This window comes from Homo sapiens, chromosome 1 (assembly GCF_000001405.40).
Source record: "Homo sapiens chromosome 1, GRCh38.p14 Primary Assembly".
Classification (NCBI taxonomy): domain Eukaryota; kingdom Metazoa; phylum Chordata; class Mammalia; order Primates; family Hominidae; genus Homo; species Homo sapiens.
In genome coordinates this window covers 108518225-108537540 of record NC_000001.11, presented here as the reverse complement: position 1 = coordinate 108537540, position 19316 = coordinate 108518225, and the positions used below count along the sequence as shown (strand labels likewise).

Below are 19316 nucleotides of genomic sequence, written 5' to 3'. Positions count from 1 at the left end.
GAAAAGAGAGCCCAGGATGCAATGAAATATATTTAATATTCTGTGAATATTCTTCTTCTTCTTCTTCCCATCACAAATAATAGCCATTGATGATCATTGTCTAGATTCATGAATTCATTAGGGTTTAATATAGTGGTAATCTAATTCTGTCATTCTTTCTTCAATTTACTTGCTGGAATACTTCTATAAGAGAAAATTCAATGACTTAACCTAATAAAAATTTGTTTTTTGCTCAAGCAATAGTCCAGTGAGGCTGCTGCTGATATCTTGACTATACTGGACTCTCTCCTCTAAGCACTAACTCAGATCACTTTCCTCTTGTGATTGTATGCTTTTCTGGGTCTTTGAAATCTTCTCTATTAAGGCGGTGAATGGAAAAAAAGAATAGGGGATCAGATGTGGCAAGATTTTACAGGCCAGGCCTGGAAGTGTGTTCTTTTTCTACCTACATTCCATTGACTACAACAGTCATATGGCTGTACCTAACTGCAAGGGAGGCTGGGATATGTAGTTCAACTGTATGTCCAGTAGGAAAACAGAAATAATTTAGTAAATCATTAACCAGTTTCTGGCCATATGGCCATAAACTTGAAAATACACAATCACGCTCTCTCCCTCCTCTCCCTCCTCTCCCTCCTCTCCCTCTCCCTCTCCCTCTCCCTCTCCCTCTCCCGTCTCCCTCCTCTCCCTCCTCTCCCTCCTCTCCCTCCTCTCCCTCCTCTCCCTCTCTTTCCACGGTCTCCCTCTGATGCAGAGCTGAAGCTGGACTGTACTGCTGCCATCTCCGCTCACTGCAACCCCCCTGCCTGGTTCTCCTGCCTCAGCCTGCCGAGTGCCTGCGACTGCAGGCGCGCGCCACCACGCCTGACTGGTTTTCGTATTTTTTTGGTGGAGACGGGGTTTCGCTGTGTTGGCCGGGCTGGTCTCCAGCTCCTAACCACAAGTGATCCGCCAGCCTCGGCTTCCCGAGGTGCCAGGATTGCAGACAGAGTGTCGTTCACTCAGTGCTCAATGGTGCCCAGGCTGGAGTGCAGTGGCGTGATCTTGGCTCACTACAACCTCCACCTCCCAGCCGCCTGCCTTGGCCTCCCAAAGTGCCGAGATTGCAGCCTCTGCCCGGCCGCCACCCTATCTGGGAAGTGAGGAGCGTCTCTGCCTGGCCACCATCCCATCTAGGAAGTGAGGAGCGTCTCTGCCTGGCCGCCCATCGTCTGAGATGTGGGGAGCGCCTCTGCCCTGCTGCCCCGTCTGGGATGTGAGGAGCGTCTCTGCCAGGCCGCCCCGTCTGAGAAGTGAGGAGCCCCTCCGCCCGGCAGCCACCCCGTCTGGGAAGTGAGGAGCGTCTCCGCCTGGCAGCCACCCTGTCCGGGAGGGAGGTGGGGGTCAGCCCCCGCCCGGCCAGCCGCCCCGTCAGGGAGAGAGGTGGGGGGGTCAGCCACCCGCCCGGCCAGCCGCCCCGTCCGGGAGGTGAGGGGTGCTTCTGCCCGGCCGCCCCTACTGGGAAGTGAGGAGCCCCTCTGCCCGGCTGCCACCCCGGCTGGGAGGTGTACCCAACAGCTCATTGAGAACGGGCCAGGATGACAATGGCGGTTTTGTAGAATAGAAAGGGGGGAAAAGTGGGGAAAAGATTGAGAAATTGGATGGTTGTCGTGTCTGTGTAGAAAGAGGTAGACATGGGAGACTTTTCCTTTTGTGCTGTACTAAGAAAAATTCTTCTTCCTTGGGATCCTGTTGATCTGTGACCTTGCCCCCAACCCTGTGCTCTCTGAAACATGTGCTGTGTCCACTCAGGGTTAAATGGATTAAGGGCGGTGCAAGATGTGCTTTGTTAAACAGATGCTTGAAGGCAGCATGCTCGTTAAAAGTCATCACCACTCCCTAATCTCAAGTACCCAGGGACACAAACACTGCGGAAGGCCGCAGGGTCCTCTGCCTAGGAAAACCAGAGACCTCTGTTCACATGTTTATCTGCTGACCTTCCCTCCACTATTGTCCTGTGACCCTGCCAAATCCCCCTCTGCGAGAAACACCCAAGAATGATCAATTAAAAAAAAAAAAAGAAAAAAAAAAAGAAAATACACAATCACACATTTACAATTTGTGGTAAATGCTGTAAAGTTAAATAATATATATGAATGAGAATAGTTGGCTGGGGGCAGAGAGCTATAATACTTCAGGAAAATCCTTTGCTATGAGATAATATTTAAGCTGAGACCTAACAAATGAGGACAAGAGTGGTAGGAGGAAGAATCTCCTAGGCATGTATGAAGGTCCTGAGGTAGGAAAGAGCTTAGAGAATCCAAGGACCTGCAAGAAGACCAATGCAGCTGAACCTGAAAAGAGAGTTATGAAACAAGGCTAGACAGGTAGGCAAGGCCCATATCATGCAGTGCTCCATAGAATGTGGTAAAGAGTTAGCGTTTAATCGCAATAGCAGTGGAAGGACATAGTATGATTAGTGTTTTTTAGTATTTAATGCTAATAGCGATGGAAAGGCATGATGTGGTATTTCTAACAGAGTGTTAAAATGGGACTCTTCCTGATTCACTGCAGCTGAGGGCCTAATTACCCCCACATTTCAAAGTGCAGTGAGTGAGATCATCTATGGCAGAATTATGAAAGAGGTGCTGAAACCACTTCTGTGGATCTTCACCCCTCTGCCTATCTTAAGGCTATATAGGAACTAAAATTGAAAAGGCCAAGGAGATAGTTGAGTTTTGGAAATTCCCATTGAAAGAATCTCCAATGCATCATGTCTTCCCTACAACCCCATGAGAGATTGGTAGGACAGGTATTTTTACCTTGCCTCAGGTGTGCTAGTGAGGGGTGCTCCAAGGAGACCACATGGAAGGTTTGACCTGTAGCCTCTGGAGTCCATGGGTCACAGAAATACCTGGTAAATAGCTTACTGTCATCAAAGTAAGGAACTGCATTTGGAAAGTTAACTAGTATTGACAGTTTGCATTGGCAGCTCCAAGGTATGAAATCCTTGGGAGGAATATATACGTGCGGTCATTTAAAAGGGGATCATGCTTAAGAGAACTTCTGTCCACACCAGACAACCTTAGCAGACAGAGGCTGGAGACGTGTCTTCAGATTCAGAAGCTGAACGTGGGGCTGGAGTGGGTATGTAAGCATCCAGCTAAGGTCGAGGCTTTGCCTATTTCAATGAGCTCCAATCAGCGGAACTTACAGAGGACTATCTAGGGTGAGGAGATCGAGACCATCCTGGCTAACACGGTGAAACCCCGTCTCTACTAAAAAATACAAAAAAATTAGCCGGGCGTGGTGACGGGCGCCTGTAGTCCCAGCTACTCGGGAGGCTGAGGCAGGAGAATGGCGTGAACCCAGGAGGCGGAGCTTGCGGTGAGCTGATGCGCCACCGCACTCCAGCCTGGGCGACAAAGCGAGACTCCGTTTCAAAAAAAAAAAAAAAAAAAAAAAAAGTCCTGAGAGTAAGAGTCAGCTTTAAACACCTGCCACGGCCAGAGTCTGTCAATGGTAGATTACGCCTGTGTCTGTCACACAAGATCTTTTCTGTTTCTTATCTCTCTTTCCTGGCCCCTCCAACCTTGGCTGGCTGAAGCGGCTGAGACAATGAAGAGGAGGAGGCCAGGAGAGAGGAGCCAGCCCCACCACAAAGGCCGCCAGCCCTAGCAGGTTTGGGGTTTGGGTGGGTGGTGGGGAGGAAGCATTAACTGTAATGAAATTCAGTGTTTCAACCAACACGCTGAACTGGGCATTTTTATTATTGAAATGAGACCATTTTGCGACTGAAAGAGAGAATTCGTATTAACTGACAGCACCAAAAAAAAGTCAAGGGACTTGCCCCAGGCGCCAGGAAAGAACCTGTCCTGCAGAGCCGGTTTGATCAGGCTGTTGGGAAGAAAAGAATAAAGTTGTTTTCTGTTCTCACTTCAAGGTTTCTGGTTCTGTATAAAAGTTACTTGTTTAAACAATCACACTGGTTGCTGTGTGGAAATCAGACCGGAGGATGGCAGGTGTGAGTGCAAAGGGTCAGTGAGGAGGGGACAGCTGGCTCCTCCACTTCCTAGCTGTGTGATATTGGGAAAGTCAGTTAACTTCTCTGTGCATCAGTTTCTTCATCTTCAAGTGGTGCTAGAATGCTTTATAGGGTTATTGAGAAGAATAAATCAGCTAATGCATTTAAAGCACTTAGAGGGGTACCTGACCCATAGTAAGGATTATAAGGTGTTTGCTACTATTTTTATTTAAAAAATTCTGATTGTAGCAGCCCCAATGTAAGACAGTGTTGACTTGGACTACCTTTAACCAGAGAGCGTGAAAAAGCTCATGATGTATTTTAGAATGATATTCAACAGGGCTTTGTGGGGGATGATTGGATATGGAGACTGAGGCAGAGGGAGAGGACAAGAATCGCTCCCAGGGTTCTGGTTTGGACATCTGGTTGGAATTGAGATGACTGAGTTTGAGCAGGACAAGAATGGTATACAAGCTTAATAGAGATTCCTGGTTACTGATGCTTCAAAAAGTATGCATTTTATTTTATTTTTTAGAGACAGGGTCTCACTGTTGTCTGGGCTGGAGTGCAGTGATGCAATCATAGTTCACTGCAGCCTTGAGCTCTTTGGCTCAAGTGATCCTGCCACTTCAGCCTCTAGAGTAGCTGCGACTACCGGTGTGTGCACATGTCCGGCTAATTTTTGCATTTTTTTAATTGTAGAGATGGGTTCTCACTATGTTGCCCAGGCTGGTCTTGAACTTCTGGCCTCAAGCCATCCTCCTGCCTTGGCCTCCCAAAGTGTTGGAATTACGGGCATGAGCCACTGTGCCTGGCCAGAAAACTGTGATTTAATAGCATTGAAAGCTCTGAGCATCACGGGAGTGATTTTTCTGAAGTGTAAAGGCTCTAAAACAAAGTACTTGTTTTGCTAGGTCACCTTCCGATCCTTTGTCCCACTCTTTTAGATAATGGTGCAGGGGGAGTCTGGGTAATTATATAATAATATGGTTTTCGTTTTGAGAACCAAGAATGACCTCAACAGGCAATCAGTCCTTGCATAATAAACACTGTTAGAAAATAAATGGCATAATATTAACAGTTCTAAAACTAAAGTTACTGTCTTTGACAGATGTCTTCTAAAATTGTTATATGTCTAATAAACTTAGTAAAAAATATATTTATCCAGTGGGGACTGCAATATAGTGACAGGCCTTTTTTTTCAAAAGCACACACATAAATGCATGGATAAAATTTTAGTGCTTATGTTTTAAATACCTTGAATGGCTTGTCACCTTACCTTTGCTATTGGAAGTTGATCTTTGAAACTAAGGTAACAGCCTGATTCCCATCCTAAAGATATGCTGTGGAGATATAGAAACACTGTCCTTTGGTATTAATTTTCTATTTTCTTCCCTACCCTCCTGGGATACAGTGTTGAGAATCAAAATTTCTCTTTCTCCTGAGGTCTTGCCAAAAGCTGTCTTTATTACCCCCTCCTGCCTTGCTAGGGGTTGTGGAAGAGCATTTATGTTAGATGCTAGGGCTGACCAATGAACAAGTGGCTGAGGGCCTTTTTTATTCTCAGTCTTTAAATTTTGTAGAAACTATAAAAGTGACTCGAGTAACTCTTTGTAGACTTGCATATCCCCTCATCAGAACTTTCCTTTTAGTTGTCTTTCTTGACAGCACTCCACTAGGAGAGGCTGGGTCCTTCAGGGCTCTGTGAGTGGGAAGAGCAGGGTGTTCTCTGAGACCTTGGTGTCCATGGTCACACCATCCACCTGGCCTAGGGCCTCATCTGGCTTAATGACTACAGTATTCTTGATGTAGCAAGTATTCTTTTAGGTAAAAATAATAAATCTCCTGCAGTTTAGTGACAGATGTTTGGTTTGGCATGTTACTCTCGCTTTTGGCAAACTCATACGGTGGCGAAGCCAATCCACATGATCCAGAAGGGAGAAAATAAGATCAAATGTTAAAATGCTATACTAATCCCCTAGCAGATAACGGATGGGAGAGGAGGCCTTGGCTTTCAAACAGTGACTATCTTAGATAATAGAGGAAAAATTTGAAATCCATACAGGTACATATCAGGAAGTTAAAGTACCTAAAACCAAATGTTTAATGTTGTTATATCTCCTTTTATTTTTACAGCCATAGTGATCAGCTTGTAACATCCACTTTGAAAATTTCCAAGGCCAACATCATCTCAGTCATGAAGTATGGTACTTTGGGGAATCTATTGGATATTTGTTTATGTACTAGAGTGAACCTGGAACTGCTTATTCCTTTGCTTCCTTAAAAATGTATTTTCTAAAGTCAGCTGATTAGCAAAAAAAAGAAATAAAATTTATTGTCTTTTAATTTTCATCAAAGTAATTGTATACATAGTAAAAATAAGGTAGTGCTGAGGAGTTTATACTGAAAAACAACAGCTGTCTGCCACACTTCCCAGTCCCACTTTCCAGAGGAAAACCGCCTCCCTTTTTTGATAAAAAAAATTACATATTTTTGAGACGGGTTTTACTCTGTTGCCTAGGCTGGAGTGCAGTAGTGTGACCATGGCTCACTATAGCCTTGACCTTCCAAGCTCAGTGGATCCTTCCACCTCGGCCCCTTGGGTAGCTGGGACTACAGGCATGTGCCCCCGTGCCTGGCTAATTTTTTCATTTTTTGTAGAGACAGGGTCTCACTATGTTGCCCAGGCTGGTCTCGAACTCCTGGGCTCAAGCGATCCTCCCACTTCTGCCTCCCAAAGTGCTGGGATTATAGGTATGAGCCACCGTGCCTGACCAAGATTAAAATTTTTAATCACTGATTTTTATCCCTTTATTCCTTTAAACTGCCTCCTGCAAAGTTACAACTGAAAGTAATTTGGTGTGTATCTTTCAAGACTTTATTTCTATGTATTGTACTTATTCTCTATAATAAAAACAAGGATTTAGCTACCCTCTCCCAGTTTTTGATAGCTATTATTATAGTTTTATTCTTGGTTGCTTTTATACCTTTAAATAAAACACTTAAACCTCTAGTTTTTGTCCCATCAGCCATATATAATACCTCTTGACTCCCAGGCTATATTTATATAATCATGATTATTTATTGGATACTTAGTATGGCGACAGGCACTGTTCTAAGTGCTCAGTGAACAAAACAGAGCTCTCAGGCTCATTGGCACTTACATGGTAGTTGGGGGTAGGGGTGTTCAGATACAGAAATTATATAGTAGACATTGATGGGGTGTTCAGATACAGAAATTATATAGTAGACATTGATACATTCAAAATTAAAAAAAGTAAGACAGGAAAAGATAGTTCAGGAATCTGGAAAGTGGGAATAATGATTTTAAATCGGATGGTCAGATTTAACTTCATTGAGAGATGATGTTTGAGCAGACATAAAGGCAGGGAGGATGTTATTCATGTAAGCATTTTAGGGAAGAGAGTTCCAGGCAGAGGCAACAGCAAAGGCTGCAAGGAAGGAGTGTGCCTGGCACATTCAAGGATTACAGGTGGCTAGTAGGGCTAGAATGGAGTGAGCAAAGGGCAGCGTGGTGGAGGATGAGGTCAGAGAGATAACAGGGTGAGATGATATAGGGCTATGTGGATCAATATAAAGAATTTTTGCTTTTACGTTGGGTACAATGAGAAGCCATTGCAAGGTTTTGAGCAGAGTGACACGGTCTGACTTGTGGATATGTATAGCTTCCATGTTGAGAACTGTAGGAAGGCATAGGGGGAGGCAGGGGAGTAGTCGGGAGGCTTTTACAGTCGTCAAGACAGAGATGCTGGTAGTGCTGACCAGGAGATACTCGTGGAGTTGGTGAGAAGAGGTCACATTCTGGAGATATGCTGATGAGACTATTGGCCCTTTTCTCCTTTCTTCCACCTTCTACCCTTCCACCTACCATAATATTCTGTCAAGAATATTATTATTATTTTTTTCTCCTGAAACAGGGTCTTGCTCTGTTACCCAGGCTGGAGTGCAGTGGCGTGATCTTGGCTTACTGCAACCTCCACCTTCTGGGCTCAAGCAATCCTCCTGCCTCAGCTTCCCAAATAGCTGGGACTATAGGCAAGTTCCATCATGCCAGGCTAATTTTTGTATTTTTTGTAGAGATGAGATTTCACCATGTTTCCCAGGCTGGTCTTGAACTCCTGAGTTCAAATGATCCACCCACCCTGGCCTCCCAAAGTGTTGGCATTCCAGGCGTGAGCCATCGGGTCTGGCCTAGACTTTTGTTTTTATGTTTTCAGAGTTAATGCCAAATTCTTTCTTTATTGTAACCCATCTTTTATAAACTGTTGCTTACAGTTTGATTCTGGGAGTTAAATATCAACATAACCCCCCAATTTATGTTATTATGACTATTTAATTAATATTCATTGCATAGGCAAATAATATGCAAAAATTACATTTCCTTTTCTATAGGTCCAAGACCATGACCTCTGGGCTCTTTGAAGAAGGATATTTTAGAGTCTAAATTAAATAAATTCTCTTTCATAGTTACAGAAATTGCTGAAAATTGTGCTACATTTTAGCTGGCTTCATATTTGTATCTTGACTTTTCTATATAATTCTTGTCGTTTTTTTTTTTCCTGGAATTTCCAATTATCTTTCTTTTATCTTGCTGAGAGAAGAAACATATGTTTTCTTCACCATGTCACTGATATCATCTATTTTCATGGTCATTCTATGTTTTGTGTAAACTACATTTCATTTTTCTTCCTGAAGATAGTATTAATGTTATACTTGGGACCCACTGACTCCCTCTCCTGATTTAGATTGTTTTGTAAACCCTATGCACAGCTGTCACTCTGAAATGATTTTTCATTATACTCCTGAGTGAGTTCTACTCTTTCTTGTATTCCATATCTTCCTCTGTTGGTTTGCACTTCACTTCTCTGGAATATCTCCAAAAGTATCTTCGTCAGAAAAAACAGACGGGAGATGAAATTTCTGAGTAATTGAAAATCTGAAAATGTCTTTAGTATGCCTTCACATTGATTTATAGTTAGGTGGAGTACAACATTCTATATTCAAACATTTTTTCCCTTCAGAACTGTGAAGGAATTGTTCTGCTGTCTTTAGCATGGAGTATTACTAATAAGCTTGGGCCGGGCACGGTGGCTCAAGCCTGTAATCCCAGCACTTTGGAAGACTGAGGTGAAAGGATCGCTTGAGCCCAGGAGTTCATGACCAGCCTGGGCAACATGGCAAAATCCTGTCTTTACAAAAAATGCCAAAACTTAGCTGGGTGTTGTGGCTCATGCTTGTAGTCCCAGCTACGCAGGAGGCTAAGGTGAGCAAGACTGTGTCTTGGAGGAAAAAACGAAAAGAAGCAGCAGCTTGATGCTGGTGTATTATTGTTCCTTGGTAGGTGATCTTTTTTCTCTTCCTCTCTAGAGTCTTCCCATGTTCATTGCAACACTATTCCCAATAGCCTAGATGTGGAAACAATCTACATGTCCATTGATAGATAAATGGATCAAGAAACTTTGCTATATACATAAAATGGAATATTATTCAGTCATAAAAAAGGAAATCCAGTCATTTGTGACAACATGGATGAATCTGGAGGACATTACGCTAAGTGAAATAAGCTAGTTGTTCATTTCTATGGCAGAGAGTAGAATGGTGGCTGCCAGGGGCTGAGGGAGGGGAAATAGAGAGGGCTGCCCAGTGGATATAAAGCTTCAGTTATGCAAGATGATTAAGTTCTAGAGATCTGCTGTATAGCATTGTGTTTACAGTTAATAGTACTGTAAACTTAAATTTTTTTCAGAAGGTAGGTCTTATGTGTTCTTACCACAGTAAAGAAATTAATTAACTTAAAAATCTCTTAATATTTAATCTTCCAGAATTTCATAATGTGATGTCTAGTTGATCTTTTTTCATTCATTTTGCCTAGTACTCATTTACACCCTTCACTAGGAATAGTTACATCTTTCTTTAACTCTCGATGAGACATATATACATATATATATATATAGAGAGAGAGAGTGTGTGTGTGTGTGTGTGTACTCACATACATACTAAAGCTTTAAAAGATATTTCATTCCTTGTTTTTTTTCTTTTTGGAACTTCTATTTGCTGGATATAGGATCTTCTGGATTTATTCTGTTTCGTCTTTCTTCTGACATTTCCTCTCTTTTCATCTTTTGCTTTATGTTCCAGGAGAGGGTCTAGGCTGTCTTTCAACCCTTCGATTTTTAAAATGTCAGCAATTATATGCTTAATTTCCCAGAACTCTTTCTTCTTTTGGATTTTTATTTTGGTTTGTGTGTGTGAAGTCAGGGCAGGGTGTAGGAGTATCCAGTCGTAGTTTCATGGAAGCAGTGTCTTTTCAAATGTCTCTGAGAACAGTAATTAAAAATGTAATTTTTTCTATTCCATAGATAATCTCTGCTCTTTTCTTAGGATGAATACTGTTTATCTTGGTCTTTCTTTTTTATGTTGCTTGTTTTCTTTCTTGTGATCTTTAGTTGTCCATCATATTTTAGAATGAGACTTCTAAGTAGCTTTTAGGAGTTTCTTACTCTGATGTATATAAGTCTGTTTTCCCATGGAATATCTGCCAGTAGTTGGGAGCTCTGTGTACCTGGGCGGTGGGCTGGGGCGGGGGCGGGGGGGTGCAGATAATTGATTGTGGTAATGCTGGTTATATAAATTTCAATGGCTTTACATAATAGATGTTTGTTTGTCATCTGTATTGTGGTCCAATGCCTGATTGGCAGGTGGCTTCTTGCATGTGGTGATTCAGAGACCCAGACTCTTTCCCCTGGCACCACTAGCATCTCCGCAGGCCTTGGTGCCTTCTGCCTCTGGCTGGCAGAAGAGTAAATAAGAAAGTGCAAAGGCACACCTACTTTCTTAAAAGCCCTGGCCTGGAAGTGATACACATCACTTCTACTTATATCCCATGTAGTTAAATGACTACATTGGAATGCAAGCGAGGCTGGAAAATATAGTCCCTGGCCTGGAAGTCACCTACCAGAAGAGGCATCACAGTAAGGAATGAGGAACACAAATTTTTGTCACTCATTTCTAGTCATTCCTTTTGAAAATAGACTTATCCACTAGTCATGTTCATTTTAGGGTTAGAATGCTGGAGACTTTTAGTTTTTGCGGGGAGGAATGGGGTTACAAAATGCAAGAATAGAGAGAGCTTTACTTGGGGCACTGGCATCCATTTTCACCATTTCTGATTCTTCTCAGCCAGTTTACTCAATTTTTCAAGAAAAGAAACTTTTTTTTTTTTTTTTTTTTTTTTTTTTTTTTTTTTTTACGGCCAGGATTTCATACTAGTTGGTATTCTGTGTATTTAGGAGTGGGAGACGAGGGTTGGGAGTGTAGGTACATGTCTGGTGTAGACTGTGCACTAGGCAGGCTTTCAGTTAACCCTTCTATTTTACCTCTCCTCTGCCCCTGCCCTCTGAGGCACCTGCCAGCTCAGCCCTGGGCTTCTGTGGGTTTCTGCCGTAGAGACAGACTCACTCTGGCATTAAAATCCCTTCCTGCACATTCTGGGCTGCTGATTCTCTCTTATCTAGCCTTAGGCTTCCAGTCTCTTTCTGTCTTCCATTGTTTTAAACTCTCATCCACTGGTGACCCTCTTACTGTTCTGTTTACTGTTCTGAGTTAACCTCTATGTTATCATTAGGTCTCAGAAAGTAGAGAAGAAAAAGCTTTGTGCTGGGTCTACTGTATTGGACTTGAAGTCCCCAGAACCTTTTCTTGAGGAAATCCCAAGTTTCCCTGCAGGAACCATTCAGGTATTTGTCTAGAGTTCTATTTTGACAAGCTAGTGACTTCGTTTTTCTTCTGTAGAGGGAGGATCTCACTATATTGCCCAGGCTGCATTTATATTTCATTGTCTTAGAAATGTAACTTTTCTAAACAATTCTAAAATTCATATGGAACCAAAAAAGAGCCCACATAGCAAAAACATCCTAAGCAAAAAGAACAAAGCCAGAGACATCACATTACCTGACTTCAAACTATACTACTAGGCTATAGTAACCAAAACAACATGATACTGGTGCAAATATAGACATAGATGAATGGAACAGAATAGATAACCCAGAAATAAAGCCATATAGCTACAACCATCTGATCTTGAACAAAGTTGACAGAAATAAACAATGGAGAAAGAACTCCCTATTCAATAAATGGTGCTGGGAAAACTGACTAACCACATGAAGAAGAATCAAACTGTACCCTTATCTCTCACTATATACAAAATTGTATATATCTCTTACTATATACAAAAAAAGATGGATTAAAGGCTTAAAAGTAAGACCTGAAACTACAAAAATCCTAGCAGAAAACTTAGGAAAAACTCTTCTGGATATTGGCCTAGGCAAATAATTTATGATTAAGAACTGAAAAGCAAATACAATGAAAACAAAAATAGACAAATAATTAAATGAATGAGCTTCTGCACAGCAAAAGAAACAACAGAATAAACTAAGACAACCTACAGAATGGGAGTGATATGGTTTGGCTCTCTGTCCCCACCCAAATCTCATCTCGAATTGTAATCCCCCTAATCCCCATGTGTCGAGGGAGGGACCAGGTGGGAGGTGATTGGATCATGGGTGTGGTATCTCCCATGCTGTTCTCATGATAGTGAGTGAGTTCTCACAAGGTCCCATGGTTTTATAAGGGGTTCCTCCTCCTTCGCTCCACACTTCTCTCTTCTGCTGCCTTGTGCAGAAGGACATGTTTGCTTCCCTATCTGCCATGATTATAAGTTTCCTGAGGCCTCCCCAGTCATGTGGAACTGTGAGTCAATTGAACCTGTTTCCTTTATAAATTACCCAGTCTCAGGCCATTCTTTGTAGCAGTGTGAGAACAGACTAATACAGGGAGAAAATGTTTACTTACTATGCATTCAACAAAAGGACTGATATCCAGAATCTATAAGGAACTCAAATGAATCAACAAGAAAAAAACAACCCCTTAAAAAAGTGGGCAAAGGACAAGAACAGACATTTCTTAAAATACAAGTAACCAACAAACATGAAAAAAATGCTCAACATCATTAATCATCAGAGAAATGCAAAGTAAACAACGAGAAACCTTGTCACATCAGTCAGAATGGCTATTATTTAAAAGTCAAAAAATAATAGATGTTGGCAAGGATGCAGAGAAAAGGGAATACTTATGCACTATTGATGGGAAAAAAAATTAGTACAGCTCCTGTGGCAAACAGTATAGAGATTTCTCAAAGAGCTAAACATAGAGCTATCATTCAACTCAGCAATCTACAGGGAAGCTACCCAAAGGAAAATAAATTGTTATATCAAAAAGACCTGCACTCATATATTTATCACAGCACTATTCACAATAGGAAAGTCATAGATTCAACCCTAAGTGTACATCAGTGGTTGACTAGGTAAAGGAAATGTCATATATCTCATATATATCATATAATATATATAATATATGTCATATATAAATATATCATATATGTCATATATATCATATGTGTCATATACCATATATCATATGTCATATATAGCATATATATCACATATATGTCACATATATGTGTCACATATATGTCACATATATCACATATATCATATATATCACATATATCACATATATCATATATACCATATATATCATATATATACCATATATATGATATATATCATATATATCATATATATACCATATATATGATATATATCATATATATCATATATATACCATATATATCATATATATCATATATATACCATATATATCATATATATCATATATATACCATATATATCATATATATCATATATATACCATATATATCATATATATCATATATATACCATATATACCATATATATCATATATACCATATATATCATATATATCATATATATCATATATCATATATATCATATATATCATATATCATATATATACCATATATACCATATATATCATATATACTATATATCATATATACCATATATATCATATATACTATATATCATATATATACCATATATATCATATATACTATATATCATATATATACCATATATATCATATATATCATATATATCCCATATATATCATATATATCATATATATCTGGTATATATATATCCTATATATATCTGGTGTATATATATATCCTATATATATCTGGTGTATATATCCTATATATAGCTGGTATATATATATCCTATATATAGCTGGTATATATATATCCTATATAGAGCTGGTATATATATATCCTATATAGAGCTGGTATATATATATCCTATATAGAGCTGGTATATATATATCCTATATAGAGCTGGTATATATATATCCTATATAGAGCTGGTATATATATATCCTATATAGAGCTGGTATATATATCCTATATAGAGCTGGTATATATATATCCTATATAGAGCTGGTATATATATATCCTATATATATCTGGTATATATATATCCTATATATATCTGGTATATATATATCATATATATATCTGGTATATATATATCATATATATATCTGGTATATATATATCATATATATATCTGGTATATATATATCATATATATATCTGGTATATATATATTAGAATACTATGCAGCCATAAAAATGAATAAAATCATGTCCTCTGCAGCAACATGGATGGAGCTGGAGGCCATAAGTGAAATAACTCAGAAACAGAAATCAAATTATGCATGTTTTCACTTGTAAGTGGGAACTAAACAATAGGAACACATGGACATAAAGATGAAAATAACACTGAGGACTCCAAAAAAGGGGAGAATGGGAGGAGGATGAGGGCTCAAAAATTACCTATTGGGTACAATATTCACTATTGCTGGTTGGTTCATTAGAAACCCAAACATTACCACTACATAATATATCCATGTGACAAACTAGAACATGTACTCCCAAATGTAAAATTTAAAGAAATATGTAATGTATCTGTCTGTTCACTTGTTTTTAAAGCATGTATGGATTTAACAGCTCTGAATATTAGCTTTCTGTGTTCTCATCAGTGAGCACAGGAAGATAGAGTCTACTATCCCATACCTAACGAAAGGCTAGGTGGGAAGGTGATATTTAGGGAGGTGAGTTTGAAGGGTGTTTGTTTTAGTTACATTCTAGTCACTTTAACTTGTATTCTTGGAAAAAGCTGGAATCATTGGCTTGTATTATCTTGGCCCTTCCCATAACTGCCTTGACTGAGTTATGTTTTAGCATCATGGCCTCCACTATAACAAAACAATTGATAAGAAGCAGCCTTATAAAGCTGATTTTGCAATTACTTCAGCAATTTTAAAAGGACATTATCTACTCCCTTCATCACTCAGCAAGACATTTTTAAACAACTCATAGCAAAACTTGGCTTTTCCAAAGGAGCTGATGCATTCTCTTTTTTCTGATAATGAGAATTGTGCAACAGACTATATTTCCTTTTATCATCTCTATTTCATCATTCTCTGGTCTTGACTGTTAAAACTGTGATAATGTCTCTGAGATAATGTAAATTCAGATGGAATTCAACTGGCAATTGGCTCCCATTCTTTTCCTGGGTGCAATTCTCAAATGAAGACCAGCTAAAGGTATTATCTTCTGCATGGTGAAGAGTCAGGAAGTGACTACTTTGTGATAATTTGGGGCTTTCTCAACTCAGTGTATGCTACATATTTTGTAATAATTGGTCTATTTCTTACATAGCTCATAAATGAAAACAAATAAAGCACACATTAACTGGAAGACTAATTGAGCAGTTTTTTTTTAAACTTTGCAATAATGTAGCCATGGATTTTATGTGATTAAACTTTGTGGACTTCACGTATAGTAAGGATTTTACTATATCTTCCTTTATTACTGAATCTCTAATTTTATATTGTTAATAAAAACTATACACTATTGACAATGAGCAGCATACATTTTATGCTGTGCATATTATAAACTAAGTGTTCTTATTGTAAGACACCCCAAAACCCTCATAGAACAAGGCAAGGTATAAATATAAATATACATAAATATAAAAATAATGTAAAATAAAAAGACTCAGTTGAATGTACTTTGGGATGTGTCTATTCTAAATATAACATATTCAGTATCCATATTATATTTCCATAAAGGAATTTTCTTCCCTTTTACAATTTATTTGAAGACATACTAAATAGCATTACTATACTTGTGCTGGGTTGAATAATGTCCCCCCAAATTCATATGCATTTGGAACCTCAGAATGTGAACTTATTTGGAAATAGGGTCTTTGCAGATATAATTCATTAAGATGAGGTCATATTAGGTTAGAGTGGGCCCTAAATCCAATGACTGGTATCCTTATAAGAAGGCTATATAAAGACACAGATGGGGGTTCTGGGCAAGATGGCTGAATATGAACAGGTCTGGTCTGCAGCTCCCAGCGAGACCAATGCAGAAGTTGGGTGACTTCTGCATTTCCAACTGAGGTACCCGGTTCATCTCACTGGGACTGGTTAGACAGTGAGTGCAGCCCACGGTGGGTGAGCTGAAGCAGAGTGGGGTGTCGCCTCACCCGGGAAGCACAAGGGGTTGAGGAACTCCCTCCCCTATCCAAGGGAAGCAGTGACGGACTGTGCCATGAGGGATGGTGCTATTCGGTCCAGATACTACATTTTCCCCATGGTTTTTACAACCCACAGACCAGGAGATTCCCTCAGGTGCCTATACCACCAGGGTCCTGGGTTTCATGCACAAAACTGGGTGGCCACACAAGCAGACACTGAGCTAGCTGCAGGAGTTTTCTTTTGTACCTGGGTGGCACCTGGAACACCAGTGCCACTTTCCATTCACTGCCCTGGAAAGGGGGCTGAAGCCAGGGAGCCAAGTGGTCTTTCTCAGCAGGTCCCAACCCCATGGAGCCCAGCAAGCTAAGATCCACTGGCTGGAAATTCTCACTACCAGCACAGCAGTCTGAAGTCAACCTGGGACACTTAGGCTTGATGGGGGCAGGGGCATCCACTCTCACTGATGCCTGAGTAGGCGGTTTTCTCCTCACAGTGTAAATAAAGCCGCTGGGAAGTTTGGACTGGGCAGAGCCCACTGCAGTGTGGCAAAGCTGCTGTAGCCAGACTGCCTCTCTAGATTCCTCCTCTCTGGGCATCTCTGAAAGAAAGGCAGCAGTCCCAGTCAGGGCCTTATAGATAAAACTCCCATCTCCCTGGGACGGAGCACCTGGGGGAAGGGGCAGCTATGTGTGTAGTTTCAGAAGATGTAAATGTTCCTGCCTGAAAGCTCTGAAGAGAGCAGTGGCTCTCCCAGCACAGGGCTCGAGCTCTGCTAAGGGACAGACTGCCTCCTCAAGTGGGTCCCTGACCCTCGTGCCTCCTGACTGGGAGACACCTCCCAGCAAGGGTCAACAGACACCTCATACAGGAGAGCTCTGGCTGGCACCTGGTGGGTGCCCCTCTGGAATGAAGCTTCCAGAGGAAGAAGCAGGCAGCAGTCTTTGCTGTTTTGCAGCTTCTGCTGGTGATACAGAGGCAAACAGGGTCTGGGGTGGACCTCCAGCAAACTCCAGCCGACCTGCAGAAGAGGGTCCTGGCTGTTAAAAGGGAAACTAACAAACAGAAAGCAATAATATCAACATCAATAAAAAAGACACCCAAGCAAAAACCCCATCCAAATGTCCTCAGCATCAAAGATCAGAGGTAGATAAATCCACGAAGATGAGGAAACACCAGCACAAAAATGCTGAAAATTCCAAAAACCAGAATGCCTCTTCTCCTCCAAAGGATCACAACTCCTTGCCAGCAAGGGAACAAAACTGGACAGAGAATGAGTTTGACGAATTGACTGAAGGAGGCTTCAGAAGGTGGGTAATAACAAACTCCTCCGAGATAGAGGAGCATGTTCTAACCCAATGCAAGGAAGCTAAGAACTTTGATAGGAGGTTACAGGAACTGCTAACTAGAATAACCAGTTTAGAGAAGAACATAAATGACCCGATGGGGCTGAAAACACAGCATGAGAACTTCGTGAAGCATACACAAGTATCAATAGCCAAATTGATAAAGCAGAAGAAAGCATAACAGAGATTGAAGATCAACTTAATGAAATAAAGCATGAAGACAAGATTAGAGAAAAAAGACTGAAAAGGAACCAACAATGCCTCCAAGAAATATAGGACTATGTGAAAAGATCAAATCTACAATTGATTGATGTACCTGAAACTGACAGGGAGAAGGGAACCAAGTTGGAAAACACTTCAGGATATTATCCAGGAGAACTTCCCCAACCTAGCAAGACAGGCCAACATTCAAATTCAGGATATACAGACAACACCATTAAGATACTCCTCAAGAAGAGCAACCCCAAGACACATACTCATCAGATTCACCAAAGTTGAAATGAAGGAAAAAACATTAAGAGCAGCCAGAGAGAAAGGTCGGGTTACCTACAAAGGGAAGCCCATCAGACTAACAGCGGATCTCTTGGCAGAAACTTTACAAGCCAGAAGACAGTAGGGGGCCAATATACAACATTCTTAAAAAAATAATTTTCAACCCAGAATTTCATATCCAGCCAAACTAAGCTTCAAAAGCAAAGGAGAAATAAAATCCTTTACAGGCAAGCAAATGCTGAGGGATTTTATTACTGCCAGGCCCACCTTACAAGAGCTCCTGAAGGAAGCACTAAATATTGAAAGGAAAAATTGGTACCAGCCACTGCTAAAAAACATATGAAAATATAAAGACTAATGACACTATGAAGAAACTGCATCAGCTAACGTGCAAAATAGCCAGCTAGCATCATGTTGACAAAATCAAATTCACACATAACAACATTAACCTTAAATGTAAATGGGCTAAATGCTCCAATTAAAAGACACAGTCTGGAAAATCGGCTACAGTCAAGACCCATCAGTGTGTTGTATTCTGGAGACCCATCTCACATGCAAAGACAAACATAGGCTCAAAACAAAGGGATGGAAGAATATTTACCAAGCAAATGGAAAGCAAAAAAAAGCAGGAGTTGCAATCCTAGTCTCTGATAAAACAGACTTTAAACCAACAAAGATTTAAAAAAAACAAAGAAGGGCATTATATAATGGTAAAGGAATCAATGCAACAAGAAGAGCTAACTACCCTAAATATATATTCACCCAATACAGGAGCACCCAGTGAAGGGGTGGGTTGCCCCTCCACACCTGTGGGTGTTTCTCGTTAGGTGGAACGGGAAACTTGGAAAAGAAAAAGACACAGAGACAAAATATAGAGAAAGAAATAAGGGGGCCCAGGGGACCAGTGTTCAGCATATGGAAGATCCCACCAGTCTCTGAGTTCCCTTAGTATTTATTGATCATTCTTGG

At 40.6% G+C, this 19316-nt stretch overlaps 2 annotated features.

Annotated features, from left to right (window-relative positions):
- Positions 380–674: an enhancer, noted in NCBI's record as "tiled region #3357; HepG2 Activating DNase matched - State 9:DNaseU". NCBI's record gives its function as "activates a minimal TATA promoter and a strong SV40 promoter by Sharpr-MPRA in HepG2 cells {active_cell/tissue: HepG2}" and the evidence as "EXISTENCE:reporter gene assay evidence [ECO:0000049][PMID:27701403]".
- Positions 3341–3916: a transcriptional cis regulatory region, noted in NCBI's record as "candidate enhancer chr1.7484 targeted for multiplex CRISPR interference". NCBI's record gives its function as "positively regulates FAM102B gene expression with high confidence in K562 cells {active_cell/tissue: K562}" and the evidence as "EXISTENCE:mutant phenotype evidence [ECO:0000015][PMID:30612741]".